Source organism: Homo sapiens, chromosome 5 (assembly GCF_000001405.40).
Source record: "Homo sapiens chromosome 5, GRCh38.p14 Primary Assembly".
Taxonomy (NCBI): domain Eukaryota; kingdom Metazoa; phylum Chordata; class Mammalia; order Primates; family Hominidae; genus Homo; species Homo sapiens.
Window position 1 is genome coordinate 108,931,301 of NC_000005.10, and position 19,599 is coordinate 108,950,899.

The 19,599-nt window shown below is 34.6% G+C and overlaps 1 protein-coding gene across 22 annotated transcripts in view; it reads left to right on the forward strand.

Moving 5' to 3' along the window:
* FER (FER tyrosine kinase) overlaps positions 1–19,599 on the forward strand; it is a 448,945-nt gene that overhangs the window by 183,404 nt on the left and 245,942 nt on the right. For all 22 annotated transcript variants that reach the window (NR_146155.2, XR_007058589.1, XR_007058591.1 and 19 more), the window contains one exon: positions 14,830–14,922. Coding sequence is in view for 18 of the 22 variants with exons in the window: in NM_005246.4 (NP_005237.2) it covers positions 14,830–14,922 (93 nt within the window). In the remaining 4 variants the exon portion in view is untranslated. The remainder of the gene's footprint in view (positions 1–14,829; positions 14,923–19,599) is intronic.

Here is a 19,599-nt window from a genome sequence, read left to right on the forward strand (position 1 = left end):
TTACTCTGTTTTTTCCATGTATTTTTTTTTCCGTGTATTTTACAATAAAAAAAATTTGGTGTCTCACTGAGCTACACTGAGATTTAATAAACTTATGTCACTGAACGAAGGATTTCTGAAATGTAGATCCAAACTTTCCTGTGTTTATATCCAAGGGCCTCTCCTCTTAGTGTTTTATCTTTAATGAAAAAAGTTTGTGATCATTTTATGTCATTAATATTGCATAGTTTTCATTCATGTCTAAATTCTCTTATCATTCCAGGCCAAAAATGGCTCTTTTCTTGAGATGTGGTATTAAAAATAGTGCATGCCTGAAGTCAGGAGTTCGAGACCAGCCTGGCCAACATGGTGAAACCCCGTCTCTACTAAAAATAGAAAAATTAGCTAGGCATGGTGGCGGGGACCTGTAATCCCAGCTACTTGGGAGGCTGAAGCAGGAGAAACGCTTGAACCTGGGAGGTGGAGGTTGCAGTGAGCCAAGAATGCACCATTGCACTCCACCCTAGGCGACAAGAATGAAACTCCATCTCGGGGAAAAAAAATAGTGCATAATTCTTAGGTATAAATTAACCAAGTTTTATATATAATATTGTCCATTTGAATGTGGTAATTGTTCAAATATAGGAGGTAGAGGCCCTCCATCCTTCCAATATCTTAAATTTTGTGTGTGTGTGTGTGTGTGTTTCATTTTTTAAAATTATACTTGGTTATATCACTTGGTTACATTTTTTTTTTATTATACTTTAAGTTCTGGGATACATGTGCAGAATGTGCAGGTTTGTACATAGGTATACACATGCCATGGTGGTTTGCTGCACCCATCAACCCATCATCTACATTAGGTATTTCTCCTAATGCTATCCCTCACCTAGCCCCCTACCCCCTGACAGGCCCTGGTGTGTAATATTCCTCTCCCTGTGTCCATGTGTTCTCATTGTTCAACTCCCACTTATGAGTGAGAACATGCGGTGTTTGGTTTTCTGTTCCTGTGTTAGTTTGCTGAGAATGATGGTTTCCCGCTTCATCCATGTTCCTGCAAAAGACATGAACTCATCTTTTTTTATGGCAGCATAGTATTCCATGGTGTGCATGTGCCACATTTTCTTTATCCAGCCTATCACTGATGGACATTTGGGTTGGTTCCAAGTCTTTGCTATTGTGAATAGTGCTGCAGTAAACATACATTTGCATGTGTCTTTATAGTAGAATGATTTATAATCCTTTGGGTATATAGCCAGTAATGGGATTGCTGGGTCAAATGGTATTTCTAGTTCTAGATCCTTGAGGAATTGCCACATTGTCTTCCACAATAGGTGAACTAATTTACACTCCCACCAACAGTGGAGAAACGTGTTCCTGTTTCTCTACATCCTCTCCAGCATCTGTTGTTTCCTGACTTTTTAATGATTACCATTCTAGCTGGCATGAGATTGTATCTCATTGTGGTTTTGATTTGCATTTCTCTAATGACCAGTGATGATGAGCTTTTTTTTGTATGTTTGTTGGCTACATAAATGTCTTCTTTTGAGAAGTGCCTGTTCATATCCTTTGCCCACTTTTTTTTTTTTTTGATGGGGTTGTTTGTTTTTTTCTTGTAAATTTGTTTAAGTTCCTTGTAGATTCTGGATATTAGCCCTGGGGTTGTTCTTTTCTTGTAAATTTGTTTAAGTTCCTTGTAGATTCTGGATATTAGCCCTTTGTCAGATGGATAGATTGCAAAAATTTTCTCCCATTTTGTAGGTTGCCTGTTCACTCTGATGATACTTTCTTTTGCTGTGCAAAAGCTCCTTAGTTTAATTAGATCCCATTTGTCAATTTTGGCTTTTGTTGCCATTGCTTTTGGTGTTTTAGTCATGAAGTGTTTGCCCATGCCTATGTCCTGAATGGTATTGCCTAGGTTTTCTTCTAGAGTTTTTATGATTTTAGGTCTTACGTTTAAGTCTTTAATCTATCTTGAGTTAATTTTTTAATAAGGTGTGAGGAAGGGGTCCAGTTTTAGTTTTCTGCATATGGCTAGCCAGTTTTCCCAACACTGTTTATTAAATAGGGAATCCTTTCCCCATTGCTTGTTTTTGTTAGATTTGTCAAAGATTAGATGGTTATAGATGTGTGGTGTTATTTCTGAGGCCTCTGTTCTGTTTCATTGGTCTATATATGTGTTTTGGTACCAGTACCATGCTGTTTTGGTTACTGTAGCTTTGTAGTATAGGTTGAAGTCAGGTAGCATGATGCTTCCAGCTTTATTCTTTTTGCTTAGGATTATCTTGGCTGTATAGGCTCATTTTTGGTTCCATATGAAATTTAAACTAGTTTTTTTTCTAATTCTATGAAGAAAGTCAATGGTAACTTGATGCGGATAGCATTGAAGCACTGAATCTATAAACTACTTTGGGCAGTATGAACATTTTTACGATATTGATTCTTCCTACCCATGAGCATGGAATTTTTTTCCATTTGTTTGTGTCCTCTCTGATTTCCTTGAGCAGTGGTTTGTAGTTCTCCTTGAAGAGGTCCTTTGCATCCCTTGTAAGTTGTATTCCTAGATATTTTATTCTCTCTGTAGCAGTTTTGAATGGGAGTTCACTCATTATTTGGCTGTTTGTCTATTATTGGTGTATAGGAATGCTTGTGATTTTTGTACACTGATTTTGTATCCTGAGACTGCTGAAGTTCTTTATCAGCTTAAGGAGATTTTGGCTGAGACGATGGCGTTTTCTAAAATTTGACTTCCTCTCTTCCTGTTTGAATACCCTTTATTTCTTTCTCTTGCCTGATTGCCCTGGCGAGAACTTTCAATACTGTGTTGAATAGGAGTGGTGAGACAGGGCATCCTTGTCTTGGTTTTGAATGAATGACTGATGCCCAGCGTTTGCTTGGCTTTCTGTATGTAATCTAGGCAACCTGGCTTACTACAAAGAGAGTAAGCAAAGAGTTACTTTGTTATCTTTTCTGTGCCTTAGTGCAAGTCATTTCACCCCCTCTGACCTTCATTTTCTCATGTATTATGAAGTGAAAAAGCTGAAATAGAAAATCTTTAACACAGAAGGTTCCTTCTACCACTGATTGTTTAAGACCATTTCATTATATGACAGCGTTGTAAAAAATGTGATAGAATAAAAATTATGGCCCAGTAATTTTCACACTTATTTTTAATGTTAATCTTTTTAGTAATGCCCTATTTACATAAACGTATATTGACCAACTTATTTTTGTCTTGGGAGTTCGTTGCTTTTTAAAATTCTTTCTTTGCTGATATCTAATCAGCAACTATATTGGACTCCAAAATATGGGAAGAAACTTCAAACCACATGTGCTAATTACTGTGAAAAGAGATGCTAGCGAAGCAAATAAAAAGTTAGCTAGTTTTCCAGCTACTGCACTGTAGGTGTGTGAATAGCCAGAGGGAGATTATCCAGTGACCTTGCTACTGCTGAGCTGTAAATGTTGCTGTACAGTTTCCTGGAATTATCAGGGCTTTAGGCTCTTGCTGAGAAAAAATATCTTTGGGACTACAGCTATATTTCTGACAGTGGATTTTGGGGCAAGGTGTCGCTTTAGTTAGAGATAATGTTCTAAAAACTGGATGGGAAATGAAAGATTAACAAATGCATATATCTACAGAAGGAACAGGATTGGAAAAAAAGAAAAAAGCGTATATGCACATTTTTATTGCATAGAATCTATGTGAATCATGCAATTCTTAACCCATTTTCCTGATTAATATATTACATATAGGGGTGATTTTTCTTTTCTTAGACATTTAAGGTAGCTGCTGCTTATAAGGTAAATATGCAGTGATTCTTTCTCAGCTATATATTAGTTGTCTAGGACCTCCATAAAAAATTACCACAAATTTGGTGGCTGAAAACAACAGAAATTTCTTCTTTCACAGTTCGGGAGGCCAGAAGTCCAAAGTCAAGGTTTTGCCAGGGTTGATTCCTTCAGGAGTCTCTGAATGAGAATTGTTCCCTGCCTCTATCCTAGCTTCTTGTGGCTGCTGGAGATCCTATCATTCCTTGGTTCATAAACACATCACTCTAATCTGTCTCCTTCTTCACATCGCCTTCTGTGTTTCTTCCTCTTCTAAGTCTCTTACGAGGAAACTTGTCATTGGATTTAGGGTCCCTGGATAATCCTGTTTGATCTCATGTTGAGACCCTTGACTTAATTAAATCTGCAAAACTTGCTTTTCCAAATAAGGTTACATTCATAGGTTCTTAGTGGAAATATCTTCTGAGTGGGGTGCGGGGAGGTGGTAGTCACCATCCAACCCACCTACAGTTTGTGTCTATCTTCTGTTTAATTATCAAGAAAGTTCTCAAAAATTAAAACTTTGGTTGTGGGTGAAATCTTTAACTTGAGAGAAGCTGGTTCTTTCTGCCCTTTTATTCAAGTAATTTTTTGAGTACTTCTCTGTGAGTCATAATATTTCGGGACTGGAAGATACTATAAAATATTTTTCTTTTGCCAGAAGCACAGATACTTTGTTTATGGTCCAACTCTGAGTTAGAGTCAAAGCCAGGCCTAGAGCATAGATTCTGAATCAAGTGTTTACGTCTGTATTATGAGACCAGAAAGTCCTCTGTTTATTACATTATTGGAGCAATTAAATATACATTTATTGAGCAGACTTCAAATAGCATTACTTTTTGAATGGTTTGGGAAAGAGTCCTTGGGAAATATGAGGTCTGTGTCTTGCAAGAACTATTTATTCAAGGCAGTCAACATAGCATAATGATTAATAGCAAAAAATTTGTATTAAAGCTGAATTTAAATTTCGGCTGCTTGACCACATGACGTTCAGCAAATCACTTAGTATTTCTAGGGCTCACAGTCCTGGCTCACACTATTTGGAAAATACCTGGGGATTCATTGGGAGCAAAGGGATTGAGGGGATTTTCAAATTCTCAATATTTAAACTTTTTATTCAAGGAAAATGATTCTGCTTAATATAAAAAATACAATTTTAATAACAGTGGCTATTATTTTACCTTTAATAATTTTGCTAAACCTTTGATACAGTTATTTGGTGAGTACCCATTCTTAATTTTTAGATGATAATTGTAGTTTGGATGATGACTCTTAATCAGATGTCTTCATGGTTATAAGTCTGATGTTTGGAGTTACACAATGGCTGCTTTAGGCCAGTGGTTTATTATGTTGTTTATTTCATATTGATTCTCCTATGCTTATTGCCTGTTGACGTAATAGTTAATGAACTTCTGAAAATACCCAGTGTACAACAATTCTCATGGGTACTTTATTAATTCAAGCAGACTAGAGCCTATTACATAGAAATAGAGACCTGGTCCTAAGATTTCTAACTTACATTCATATTGATAAAAATTAAGCCCTGGAGGTGTTATTTATAATATTTGGTAATTGGTAATGTTGGGATTAAATAATACATTTTTATTTCTAGGTATGTACTAGGCCTTTCTTGAACTTGTTTTATTAAGAAGTTAAATATTCTCTGTATTAACACTTTTAGCTATTTATAAGTACAGCAAACTAGTTTTCAAATTAAAATAATTAGAAAAATCAATCTTTTTGAAAAATGCAAAGGAAAATATCTTTTAACTCCCAAGATAGTATTCCTCTGTTGTTTTTGAGAATTTCCTACTATTTAAATAGGGATAACTACAGATTCTTAAAATCAGTCTGAGTTAAAAAGATTACCTATAATTGGAATGACTTGGGTTAAATTTGAGTACTTTAATTTCATTTTTTTCTTATGTGTCATTTGAGGTTTCTTAGCACAAAACAATAGTTCAAGTAAATATATTCCCTTTTATTTACTATTTAAATGATGTCTAATAGCTCCTGTCTTGCTTAACTTCATCATTAATATGTAGCATTTATTTTAATATTTTAATAATTTGAGTTAAGAAACCAATAAATCCCCCTGCCTTCTTGTAGCTTAGATTGTATTGTGAGTGTGTGCTTGGGCCTCTAGATATCTGGCTTGTATAACAGAGGTAGTAGTACCATTCATTGAAATGGGAAACTGATAAAAGGCCAGCTTTGGGAATTATGAGTTCAGTAATATATTGACTTTTATCTACCTCTTGCGACATCTAAATAGAAGTCACACGGATGTTTCAACATTCAAGTTTGGAGCTCAGTGAAAAAAGTTTAAGTTGCAGATTTAAATTTGTGAGTAGACTTGGTTCAGGTGGTAATTGAAGTTGAGACATAAAAGAGATTACCTAGGGAGAAAGTACAGAGTGAGAAAAGAAGAAACCTGGAATCAGTAGAGCCTAGAATCACATTACCATTTAATGACCTGGTAGAGGAGGGTGAGCCTGCTGAAGAAACTGAGAATGTGTAGTCTGAGAGGTTGGAGGATAGTGTGGTAGGGGAATAAATGTTTCATGTAGGCATACATGGTCAATAGAGTGGAATTGTGTTGAGACGTCAAGTAAGAGAAGTGGAAAATGTGTCTGTTAGATTGGTGAAATGGAGTCTGTTGGTTTCCTAAGACCATCTGCTTTGGTGTAGTTATGGGGTGACAGCCAAATAAGAGCAGATTGAGGAATGAGTGAGAGTAGAGAAAATGGAGACAGTGAGCATATATAACTCTTTTAGGAATTTTTTTTTATAAAGGGCAAGCAGTAGCTGGAACAGAATATGTGGTGAAGGGAGAGGTTCATCCTTCTCTTTCTTCTGCTCTTTCCTTCCTTTATTTCCTACTCTCTTCCCTCCTTTTTTTCCCTATCTCTCTCTCACACACACACACACACACACACACACACACACACACACACACACGTAAAAACTGAAGGGCTGATGGGAAAGAACCATTTGAGAAGGGATGGTTGACAGTACCTCAGAGATCCATTAGGTTCTTGTAAGGTGTAAGGTTCTTAGGAGGTCAGGAAGCAATGAGATCCAAAGTTAAGTAGAGTGGTAATCCTAAGATGGGAGTTATCTGCCTCATGTTTCAAAAAAAGGAAGGAGATTATAATAGGTAGAGAATTTTATAGCTTTGAAAAAACAAAATGAAGAGGTTCCTACCTTTGTTAATTCTAAAGAAGCTAGAAGGTATGGAAAAAAGTTGTTTTAGACATAGAAAAGTAAGAAGAGTTTGAAATGGTTGACAATGAGAGTGGAAAATAAGAAATGAGTTGGCCAGATATTTAGGGCCCATTTGAAGTTAGTAATCATGTGATACTCGGTAACAGTGTTTAGTTGCTTGGGTGTGAACTCAGAGAGAGCAGATAGTTGGATCCATCCAGGGCTGAATTTTGCCACAAGGGAGCACCTAAGAGACAGGGTAGCAAGGGAATTTAGAATATTGGCAAGAGTATCATTGAAAATGATGTAGCATGGCATCTAAGTTAGATAAAGAGAGAAGAGAAGAGAAGATGATTGATTGGGAGAAAGTGGGAGACTACAAGACTTAAGAGTTCCAGTGAGATTGAAAAATGGTTACAGCAGAACTGGTTGAAAGCAAACTGATGGGATAGGAGACTGTGGCCAGAAAGAGGGGAGCTTGAATTTAGAGCTATTCCATGTGATGATAGTGTCCAAGACAAAGCCATGACTGATGTAGAGTGGACAAAAATGTTTCCCCTTCCACCCCTACAGATTGAAAGCTTTGTGACAGCACCTTCTGAGGTGTATTTTGCAGAATATTTTCTCTCCCAAAAGATGCAAATAGTAATACATTATTAAGACTCTGAGACATATTGCATTAATGAATCTGTTTAAATTTGTTTAACTGTGCATTTCTAAAATCTGTGGGACTACAGAAGCTTTTGTACTATGACATCTATTAATGGCCATTTAAACTAGGGTTTTTCCATACTTTTGAGCAGTTGTTTTATTTGTTATGTGCTGAAACTGTTAAATTAATGGGAATAAGTGAGAATAATTATCACAACATATGTGTTTAGTTTATAAAGAATTTAATCTACATTAATATATATCAATATCAAAAGATTTCTTTTCCTATTAAAATTAAATGTTTCTAAAACCTAAAAATGTAAGTTAATATATTGTTTTGTTAGTGATCATTGTGACATTTGAAGTTGCTTATTGAAAATCTTTAATTAGTAATTGATATTCCAGGAAAGCCTACTATATTAGTTCTATACAATAGTTACCCAAGTTGGATTAGTTAAAACAAAGAAGAGTTTACCCAGTCATGTAGCTGGATATACACAGAAGTTCAAACCATGTCGTCAAGGATTTGTTTTCATTTCGCAGCTCTACCTTCTGTTGTATGGACTTCATTCTCAGGCAGGATGTACTGATGTCCTACAGTGTGACAGTTTCTCTCAGAGAGGCTGAGGATGGGACAAGCACTTAGAATCTGACTGACTTCTTTCTAAAATGCATCTCCTGGTTGGATTTTATTAGCTGACAAAAGAAGTACAATATTATAACCACCATCTTTCTTTATTTAAAAATTTTAATTTTTCTATATTTTTATTAAATCTTAGGATTTTCGTTTAGGTTCTTAGTTTCTGATTCCATTCTAATAAATAAAATCTTGACTGAGGACTTGAAACTCCAAATGTTCCCAGTTACTAGTTGCAGTAACAAAAGGAGCTCTGATAAGAGTATTATTGATGCATGTACAGTACAAGAATACTAAACATTAAAACCATTCAGGAACTTTTTAGATAAAGTTGGAAACTTAAAACATTTACAGAAATGAAATATGTACTTAGTAATCTTTATTGCGTCCTTGTGAGGTCCTCTGCAACAAATACAAAACCCATAAAACTTATCCTCTCTATCCCCTGAAACTCATCAATAAAGGAAAACAAAACAAAACCAAACCAAACCCCACAAAATAACACATCAAACTTTTGAGACATTTGGCCTTTAACCTGTTAAATTATTTTCTGAGGAATGTAGCCTTTAACTGTGTAGTAATTGACTGTCATAGAAAATGGTAGTCAAAATCAAATCTGTAGCTTTTGACAAATTAGTGGTCTTTTTGATGGACATTTTAGTGAATAACCATAAAAGATGTTTTTATGTTTTCCTGCTTTATAAATAAAGGAAAGTAAAATGATGACTAGTGTTAAACAAATTACTGGCCTTAATGAAAAGCATATGAAATTTATATCCAGGTTGGATATGGAAAGTCACAAGAGACCATCATTTCTTCCTAACAACCAAAATAAGCTACAAAATAGTAGTTTTTAGAAACCTCATCAGACAGCTAAGGACAGAAGTAAACCTAAATGAACCTACATCCAGAAAGTGACAGGCCTTTTACAGGAAAAAATAGACCCATGATTACTTTCATCCTCGGTGGAACTGTATGAGCAGATCAATCCTCAAAAGTTTTTAAGAGATTTGTAGCATCAGGTGTAGGCCGATGTGAAAGATTAGAATCTAGAGGAGCCTAACCCACAGAGCGAAGCACTATCTACCCATCTACTCTTACTCAAGTGTTTTCACTGGGTGAAGCAGTAGATCAGAGAAGGAGACTTGAGAGATACTTCAGATGAAATCCTCAATACATCAGAATGGTGGTATGTAGGGTGTGTTTCTGATGAGGGGTGTGGGCGTGGGGAGGAGTTCAGGCAGAAAAACTGAGTACTCTAGGCTTTCACTTACAAAAGAATATAAGAGCCCCTTCCCAAACTGATTCTCTGTAGGGAATTCTGGGTCTTCACATTCTAGGGCAATGGCCCTTCAAAGACTAGGCTGGGGAATGGGTATTAGAGCTGAAAGTTGTCTTCTTAGGTACATAAAGTAGTGGGTGAGAGCAAAGAGACTTCTCTCTCCCACCCGAGAGGCTGTAAAGCTGGGAGAGATCTCCTGTATTTCCTAAAGCTGGTGGATCAGCTTTGAAGCTGAGGGAGGATGCTAGAATCTCATCATGGCTCAGCTTTATTTCTAGATGAAGGAAAACTGATCTCTCTCAAAGTATTTGAAGGCTGTGGCAATTGATTTAAACTAAAACTGTAGCAAAGGCTAGAACCAACTTATTAACTACAGCTCCAACTCTCCAGCAGCCTGTCAAAAAAAGGAGTGGGTATGTCCATTTCTTGAGGAAAATATTCTTGAATTCAGACTCTACTGTTCTTTTATACAAACTGTCTGGCCTACAATCAAAGATTATATGACACACCAAAAAGTGAGAAATTTGACCCATAGGCAAGAAAGTAGACCCAGATCTTGGAATTATGAGATATTCGTTAATATAGCCGTTACAAAAATGCTTAGGGATGTAATACTTTCACTCTCATTATAAGGTATTCCTTGTCTCACAGTTTATTAGTTTAAGTCAAGTAGAAAAATTTACTGTTGTATCGTTATGTCCCTAAATTGTATTAAAAGCAGAATCTTAGTTAAGATACCTTGATAATCTAATTTATAATAGTTATGATTTTTCATACAAGCAAATTACACAGTTGTTTACTGAGCAAAGTCAATCAGCTCTTAAGTTGTATCAGTGAGATGCTCATCAGGAAGCTGGTTGGTGTGCATCTTGTAGTACTGGATAATTTACAAAAAACGTATTTTGGTGAAGGATGGATGAATAGGCAGAGCACAGAGGATCTTTAGGACAGTGTTGGCTACATGTTGTTAAACATTTGTCCAAACCCATAGAATGTACAGCAATAAGAGCAAACCCTAATGAAAACTATGGACTCTTGAGTGATAATGATCTGTCAATGAAGGTTCTCAACTGTAACACAGGCAACACGCTGGAGGGAGATGTTGATAATGGTGGAGGCTGTGCATGTGTGGGGGCAGAGGACATATGAGAAAATCCATTCCTTCCTCCTGCTTATGCTATGAACCTAAGACTGTTCTAAAAAGTAGTCTTTAAAAAAATATGTTTAGCCATTTTGGTCACACATTTGGGAAAAGCACCATGGAACGTGAACTGGCTATTGAATAGGACGGGAGCTAATTATAGCCTTCTTCTTGGGTCTTATTTCCCTAGAGACATCTTATTTAAGAGATACAGAATAAAGAAAGCAAAAAGAATGATTTATGACATTTTACAACCTGGATCTCACCGAACTCTATTCTGTTTTACTCTAGGTTTCCTTAGCATTGTTGTTTTAAAACAAGATCTTAATAATCATTCAGATGTTTGTTTTGTGCATTTGGTTTCTAATTTCATTATTTCAGAAAATGAATATGCTTGATTTAGCAAGGGGGTTTTCTTTCTTTTAATAAATATTCTTAATATGCAAGCATCAAAGAGAAAAGACAGCATGACAAACTGAGTTACTAGAGAGTGAATACTTCTAAAATGATTTGCCTTTAGTCAGAAACCCTGTTGCTAAAACAAATCATTTAGAAACTGTTTTAATACTGAAATTCTGTATCCTGATGGGAATAGAAGCTATCTATCTTTCATTGTGCCCAGCAAATCAGCATTTTCAAAACCTTAGGTTACTTACTTATAAATGCATTTTTTTAAAATGAAGGACATACTGATATTTACAGTATTTCATTTACATTATGAGCTGTAATGTAGAATTTTTTCAGAAGGTAGTCTTCTCTGGGGTTATAATTTCCCTGTAGTTATTTCTCACAAAATCCCTCTGAATTTTATGCCTGCTTTGCATAAGAAGCCCCTAAGATATTTGGCACTCAGCCTGGAGTTTGAGCATGAATATTATATTTTTCTTGATTCTTATTGCCTCCTGATTTTAATAAGTAGCTGGCTGTTCCTACAGAGCCAAATAATCACTTTCATTGTTCTGTCCAAGAATGTTATTAGATTGGGTTTATTTACATAAGTCTGTGAGAAATAATATTCAGTTTTTGTTTTAAAGACCCGTTATTAACAACAACAGTAAAGGTCTTCCTTTCACGATAGTTCAGCCTTCTCATTGGTTCATATTCAAAGGGTACCTCAGGCGAACTGTGACTAACTGCTCCAAGGAAAGTACTCATTGCCAGCCTGGTACCATGAAACTCTTCTCTGGGGTTTTCATTAATGATCAGCGTAACGCAAATGATGGGGAGTTGGACAAAAGTCACAGAATTTTTGAGATGAAAATTTTATCTAGCCAGTGCCTTTCTTTTTTCTGATGTGGAAACTGAGAGCCAGGGTAGTTGAGTAATTTGCTCAGACTCATACTCTTTATCCCTTCTGACTTCAAGAACCTTATTCCTTTGCCTTAGTGCCTCCTTTCAGAACCTCACTTTGAGAACTGTTATATGCTTTTTGGTTGTCACTTTCTACAGCAGCCAGATAGGCAGTCATTGGTTAGAGCTTTTGATCTTTGTCAGAGCCACTCCAATCAGCAGAACCTTAATTCTTGCCCTTTATATCTTTGTGCTTTAGTGCGCAGGGAATGGGGGCACTAAATGGAATATTGCAGTGAAAGAGCCTTTTTCACTGCAATTTTCTAATGAAGGATAATTTCAAAACTTGATAGGTATGATTTTACTTTAAGTAATTTAGGTATTTTTTTAATAGAGTTTTTCTGTTTGTTTGTTTTTATTTTTTGTTTGTTTTGAGACAGGGTCTTGCTCTGTTGCCCAGGCTGGAGTACAGTGGTACAGTCTGGCCTCACTGCAACCTCAACCTCTTGGGCTCAAGCCATCCTCTCACCTCAGCCTCCTGAGCAGCTGGGACTAGAGGCACACGCTACCATGTCTGGCTAATTTTTAAAAACTTTGTAGAGATGGGGTCTCACTGTGTTGCCGAGGCTGGTATCAAACTCCTGGGTTCGAGCAATACTCCCCACTTGGTCACCCAAAGTGCTGGAATTACAGGCATGAACCACCAAGCCTGGCATAGAGTTCTTTTTAACTGATAATAGATAAACTTGTAATTATTATGAACCAGTCTCTTAGTTTTATGTGTATGTGTACACACACACACACACACACACACACACACACAAACACACACACTGTCTCATTTAATTTTAAAATAATGAAAAACTATTCTTAAATGAGATGCGAAACTGATACTGTACCTAGAACTTTTCTTTCAAGCCAAGGTAATAGTTGTACTTACAGCACTTTTTCTGAGCATCTCATCAGAATATTATTTTACAATTTCAGGTATTATTTAATAACATTGCTTCTCCCTTCACCCCTTCATTAGTCCCCTACTACCTCCATTGTGAGGGGCCATCCTTTTGCCAGAACTAATTCCTACACCTCCTTTATCTGGAAAATGTATCTTGCCATTACTTGAGGTGAGTAAAATGAGAGTATCACCACCAGCCCTGCCAGGCCTAAAAGCAAACTTAGGCATTGTATTCATGGCAGTTGAAGGGAAGTTTTTTAATTTTAATTTTTAAAAGTAGCCATTTGATTGTTTGATGTAAAAATCAACCTGTCAATGAATTCAGCACAGTCTGATGTGTTATTAGGTAGACTGTAATTTAAAGCTGATACTAGATGTTACATAGACAGGAACTACATGACAAATGAGTTTCATGTTTTATTTGTAGAAATCTGGGCACCAAATGATCTGGCACTGGTTGGCATGTTTTATTAACCCTATTTGCATTTTGATTGCTGCTATATGAAACTTAAGGTCTCATTATTATTTTTGATAATATGTTTTTAGGCCAACCTATCTATAAAGAACCTTCATATGAAAAGATGTTTTCACTAATTGTATCCTGTCTAACACACAATATGTTATGCTTTGTAACTTAATATAAGGGAGCAATTTTTAAAGTTTTCTTTATCCCCTAACTGGACCTCTCCATTAGATAATTCTAATCCATTGGGTAATTTTAGTATTACGCACTTAGAAAATGTTTTGTTTTGATATTACCAAAGGGTTTTGGGAGAAAGCATGTGGCCAAGAATATGTACATTTACTGTTACAGAGATATACCCTAGGTATTGGAGACAAAAGAAACAAAAGATGTTATTTGTGACCTACTTACTTGTTTTCCAGAAGTAAAATTTGGCATCACTAATGCTGGAAGACATACGGAATTAGTGTGCTTGACAAAAGGATCTCTTGTTCTTTTGTCTGCTGCTGATTAGCAGTTGAAATGTAGTCGTCATTGGAAAATTGACCAATACTTCCATTACAAAACCACACGTGCTTTGCTCTTGGTGCCCTTCTTATGTCCTAGTTTTGGTTTTTTTTCCTTTTTCCCTCTTTTTTTCTGCCCTCTTACCTACCCCATTCACTTATGTTTATAAAATGGATCTAAAGATTTGAAATTTTAGGAAAAGTTTCCTTCATTATGGTATATGATATTCAGAAATACACATTGTGTGGCAAATAGCAATCTGGATTTGGTAGGATTGGTGGTAGGTATGTCTGCCATTACCTTCTTATTTTACTTCATCCTCCTCCCACCCGCCTTTCTCCTCCTTATCATCAGGATCATTATGATGGTCATCATCATCATGTGAATCTTTGGGAAACTTCCTAGGTACTGAAGTGAAATTCACCTTTAAAAAATGTGTTCCATATACTTTTATTCCTGTTTTTTTTTGTGATTATTTTTTCTTATTTGAATTCCCTCCCAACTATAGTCCTATCCGAAATAGTCTGTTAAATAGGTTCCTTATAGCTTGTGTTCTTTTTTGCATGTGTTAATACTTGGTTTTCTGTGAATTTCCTTTGCATTTCTTGTTTTCATCTGTATGAATTCTATATGAATTGCTATATGAATTTCTATTTCTTTCTTATTGTTTCCCCCAAATCAAAACATTTGTTGAGGGGTCAGTAAAGTAAAATGCTATAGAGTTTATGTGTATTTGGTTATTTGTTATCTTGAATGTCAGGAAGTTTATATTTTATTTAGTTGGAAGACATGATGGATAAGCTGTGGATAAGTACCTAAATACATAAATGTCTATACATATTGGATAGTTTACTGTTGCTGAAGGCTTGTTTCTTAATCCCTCCAGGAAAGAAAGGAGAGGCTATCCAAATTTGAATCTATTCGTCATTCAATTGCTGGAATAATTAGGTCTCCAAAATCTGCACTGGGCTCTTCAGCAGTAAGTAGGATTAACTCTCTGTGCTACTGAAAATGGTCATTGTCTAGCTTCTTTCTGATGCACTAATGAATATATATATATGTGTGTGTGTGTGTATATATATGTATATACATATATAAATTTGCACTTACAAATGGAAAGATAAGTGCATAATTTAACTTTTTGTGTGCATATGAATCTGTCTATATATGTGTATAGTAAAATCCCATGTAACATTGACATAGGGAAGACAGAAATAAACTTGAATTATAGGCTTCCTTTACAATATACAAATAATTATGAGAAACATTTTATGTACTTTGATTCTTACTGGAATAATAGTGTAAACAATTCTTTTCTAGTGAAACATAACCTTTTTACAGTAGGGATTACTATATATATTTTAAAAATGTATTTATGTGTATATTTATATTTTAAAGAACATTTTGATTATAAAATTGAAGTCTGTTTGATAGATTAATCATTGAAATGTGGGTTTGGCATATCACAGTAGTGCTAGAGTATTAGTTGTCTTTAGTAACAGCAGTTTGGCCATCTCATACACATGAACAAACACACAGAAGAGTTTCTCTAAAGCATTAGTTCTATTTACTTGGAGAAGGAGTTTTTTTTCCCCCTCAAACACACAGGCACTCCAGTGTATACACCCCTAACAAGTACTAGTCTAATTCTGGTCCTGATGGATTTACCTACACTGGATATTTCACATAAATAAAATCATACAATATGTGACCTTTTGCATGTAGTTTCTTCCATTTATAATTCTTCCAAGGTTCATCCATGTCATACAATGTGACAGTACTTCATTCCTTTTTGTGACTGAATAATACTCCATTGTATATATTTACCACATATTGTCTATCTATTCACCAGCTGATGGACATTTGGTTGTTTCAGCTTGTTGGCTATTATAAATAATGCTGCTATGAACGTTCGTTTTCAAGTGTTTTTCTGTGTATATGTTTTCAGTTCTCTTGGGTGTGTACCCAGGAGTAGAATTTCTGGGTTATATGGTAATAATTCTCTATTTAAGCTTTTGAGGAACTGCCAAACTGTTTTTCATGGTAATTATACCATTTTACATTCCCATTAGCAATATATGAATATTTTGATTTCTCCACATTCTTGCCAACAATTGTTATTTTAAATGTTTTCATGTTACAGGCATTCTAGTGGGCGTGAAGTAGTATCTTACTGTAGTTTTAATTTCCATTTTCCTAATGACTAATGATGTTGAGCATTTTTTCATGTTCTTATTGGCAGCTTATATGTGTTCTTTGGAGATGTGTTTATTAATATTCTTTGCACATTTTAAAATTGCTTATTTATTGTTGAGTTGTAAGAGTATATATTCTGAAAACAAACTCCTTATACATATAATCTACAAATGTTTTTTCTCACCCTTCGGATTTTTTTTCACTTTCTTGTTAATGTCCTTTAACACACCTAAGTTTTTTATTTTGATGAAGAGCAATTTATTTTTTCCTTGACTGTGTGTGCTTTTGGTTGTCAAAAAAAAATCGTCTAATCCAAGATTATGCTGATAATTCATCTTTGTTTGTTTTCTTCTTAGAGTTTTATTCTTCCACTTATATCTTTGTTTATTATTGGTTAATTTTTGTATATGGAGTGAGGTACAGGTTCAAATTTTTATTTATTTATTTATTTAATTTATTTATTTTTGAGATGAGGTTTCAATCTATTACCCAGGCTGGTGTTGAGTTCCTGAGCTCAAGTGATCCTCCCTCCTCGGCCCCGCTAAGAGTTCAAATTCATTCTTTTGCATATGGAAGCATATTTAACTTAAAATCTTTAAAATGCAACAACTATGAATCACTGTTTATGCAAATAAACATACAAAAATTAGAATGTTAAAGCATAATTTTAGATAAAGTAAAGCAAATGCATTATATATAGGAAAATGAAATTAGAATTAATCGCAATGGTATTTTTACTGGACGTGACATAACGATTTACCTCTGTTTTTAACAGTATCTTTAAAATGTAGAGCTCCCTTTAAAGACAGTCTAATGGAACGCTTAGATCAACAGTCTTGATAGAAGAAAGAACTTAAGACTTTGGCTGATAGCAGAATTTGTTTTCATCTGAATATTGTATTTGATGTCATCAGATGTTTAATATTTTTTGTTATGATCAGAATAATATTTTAATATGTTATATCAGCTACAAGCATGTGCTTTCCTTTCCAGTGTACCAAAGGGGTTAAAATCCCTATTATTAGTATCTCAGATTACTGAGGCTACAGTTACATCTAGCATCTTCCTATCTTAAGGAGGTTATAATTTTGCATTGAGAACTATTTTTCAGAGACTGCTTCTGAAGCCAAGGCCTAGAGATGTTAGACAGTATTAATTACATATTTTAAAAGCCTACTGGCAATCATGAGGGTCCATTCCAATTGAAAGTCTTTCAAACCATATTATATTTAATGAGATCTGTTCCAGTCATGTCAAGAATATTGCCCTTTTTCTAGGGCCATCTATCTACTGCAGAATTTCTATAATGAGTGGCTGAGCAAATCGCTTGTTCCATCTTACAGCCACTCATGAATACTAGTTGTATCACTGATATATGGAGTGAATAATGCCCGTCTGATAGTAGCAGTCTTTGAAAAATATTCTTTAAAACAAAAATAAAGCACATTTTGGTCCAAATGGTTTGTTCTTTATATAGATAACAGAAGAATTATTAAATTATTCAACAGCAGTCTCCTTAAAATTCATATTTTCTACACTCTGTTGACATGGGTGCTATTTCAATTTTAGAATTACTTTGTACTAGAATTTAGAAAATCAAAATATTAGAAAATAAAAATTGCTTCCTTCATATAGAATAATATTGTAAGTAAGATTTGCTTGCTTGCTTGCTTTTTAGAAACATCATTCAGTTATGTTAAGTTGTACATCAGTTGTAATATAGTGTTATAATGCTTGGCTTCCACCAGTGGCATAGGGGAATGTAGCTATTTTCATGCATGATGTGAACTGCTTGTATTTTTTAGTGTTCTCCTTTGAGTCTAGAAAAGCGGCCTTGTACTTTCTTTAATCAAGGCACGTTGTCAAGTTCAGGTTAAATAGTATACATTTTAAATATATCAGTTGTCTTCTGTTATTCTTAAGGTCTTAAGTTGCGCTTTCCCCCCATTTATTAATATGTAAAAGAGTGATAAACAAGGGAAAATAAAGATTTTTTGCATTATATCACTCTCATACACTAAATTCTGTCATGTTTAGGAAAATTAAGTTTTGAATCACTTGCAGTATTACATGTAATTTTTCTTAAAGGACTTATTGAGATTGATATTCCATAATTTGTACTGTAATGGAACAAATCTATTGTTTATATGTTTGCTGAAATGCTTAAAACAGATGACAGAGATCATGTCAGACTGATACTAAGTTTATACAGGCAATCCCAACTTGATGATAAATGTTTACATTTACTGAAATATGGTTGCGTATTGACATATTGCAATGATCTGGTAGTAGTTTTAGTTGCAATGTGTGATAAGATTTTAGCATTGAATATAGTTAATTGATGAAAATGTGTTCTTACTGATATTGTGGCACATTTTATATGTAAAATATATGGGTTTAAGGAAAGAATATTTGATACTGAATAAAATGAAACTATAGCAAAAATGTGTTAAAATGATGAGAGAGGATGAGTGAGAGTCACAGGCACAATCGTAAAAGTAACTGGGTAAAAATAATAAAGAGAGAAAAGCATGTTATTACCAATAAATGATGAGTAAGGGAACAAAAGAAGCCGGCAAAAAAGAAGTCGGAGGAAACCCCAAAGGTACTGAAGGAAGCAGAATTGTTAGAAAGAAAGAAAGGTAAAATAAAATACATATTTTGCTAAAGATAGTGTCCCTTATCAGAGACCCAAGAAGGGGTACAAAAAGGCCAGGAAATGGGAAGCTGTGGAGGTAACCTGATACTTGAGTTTGGCTTAGTTGTCTATTTTTGTTTAATACAAGTTTTAGAAAGAATTGTGTACTAATGCTTATCTCTGATTAACATGTAATTCTTTATAGTTACTATCCTAGAGAACAGTTTTATTGTTAGCTAAAAACCAAACAAATTCAAATTCTCAAATATTGTAGTACAAAAAATTGTTAAGAAATTTATGAATAAAAATTTTACAGCTAGTTTCATTATAGAATGTAAATATTAGGTGAAGTATTTTTTTTTGGTTAATGATACCAGTGCATGAAAAAACTGCCAATTCAGCTTTACTGCTAAAAAATCAGAATTTGTAGAATTAAAGATAGTCATTTAGTGCCAAAGACAGAACCACTATTTTAACTAATTTACATCCTGTTTGTCTATCCTGAACACAAATGATCCTGAGGTACAAATATTCGGAATATCTTATTTTTCATTATTTTAAGATTAATTCAATAGATTCAAACGGTAACTATTTAGAAATTTTTAAAAAACTGGAAGGGAGAACATTATTTTTTGTTTTCATTTTATATTAAACATTTAGTATATCTGTACAAATAAAAAAATTATGTTCAACTATCAAACTAGAAATGGCATAAAATACACTTTCCTACCTATGATTACATTTCCCTTTCACTGCAAATAATTTTTACTACCACCAGGCACATTCGGTAGACTAGTGTTTCCCATCTTTTGTAAACAGTTG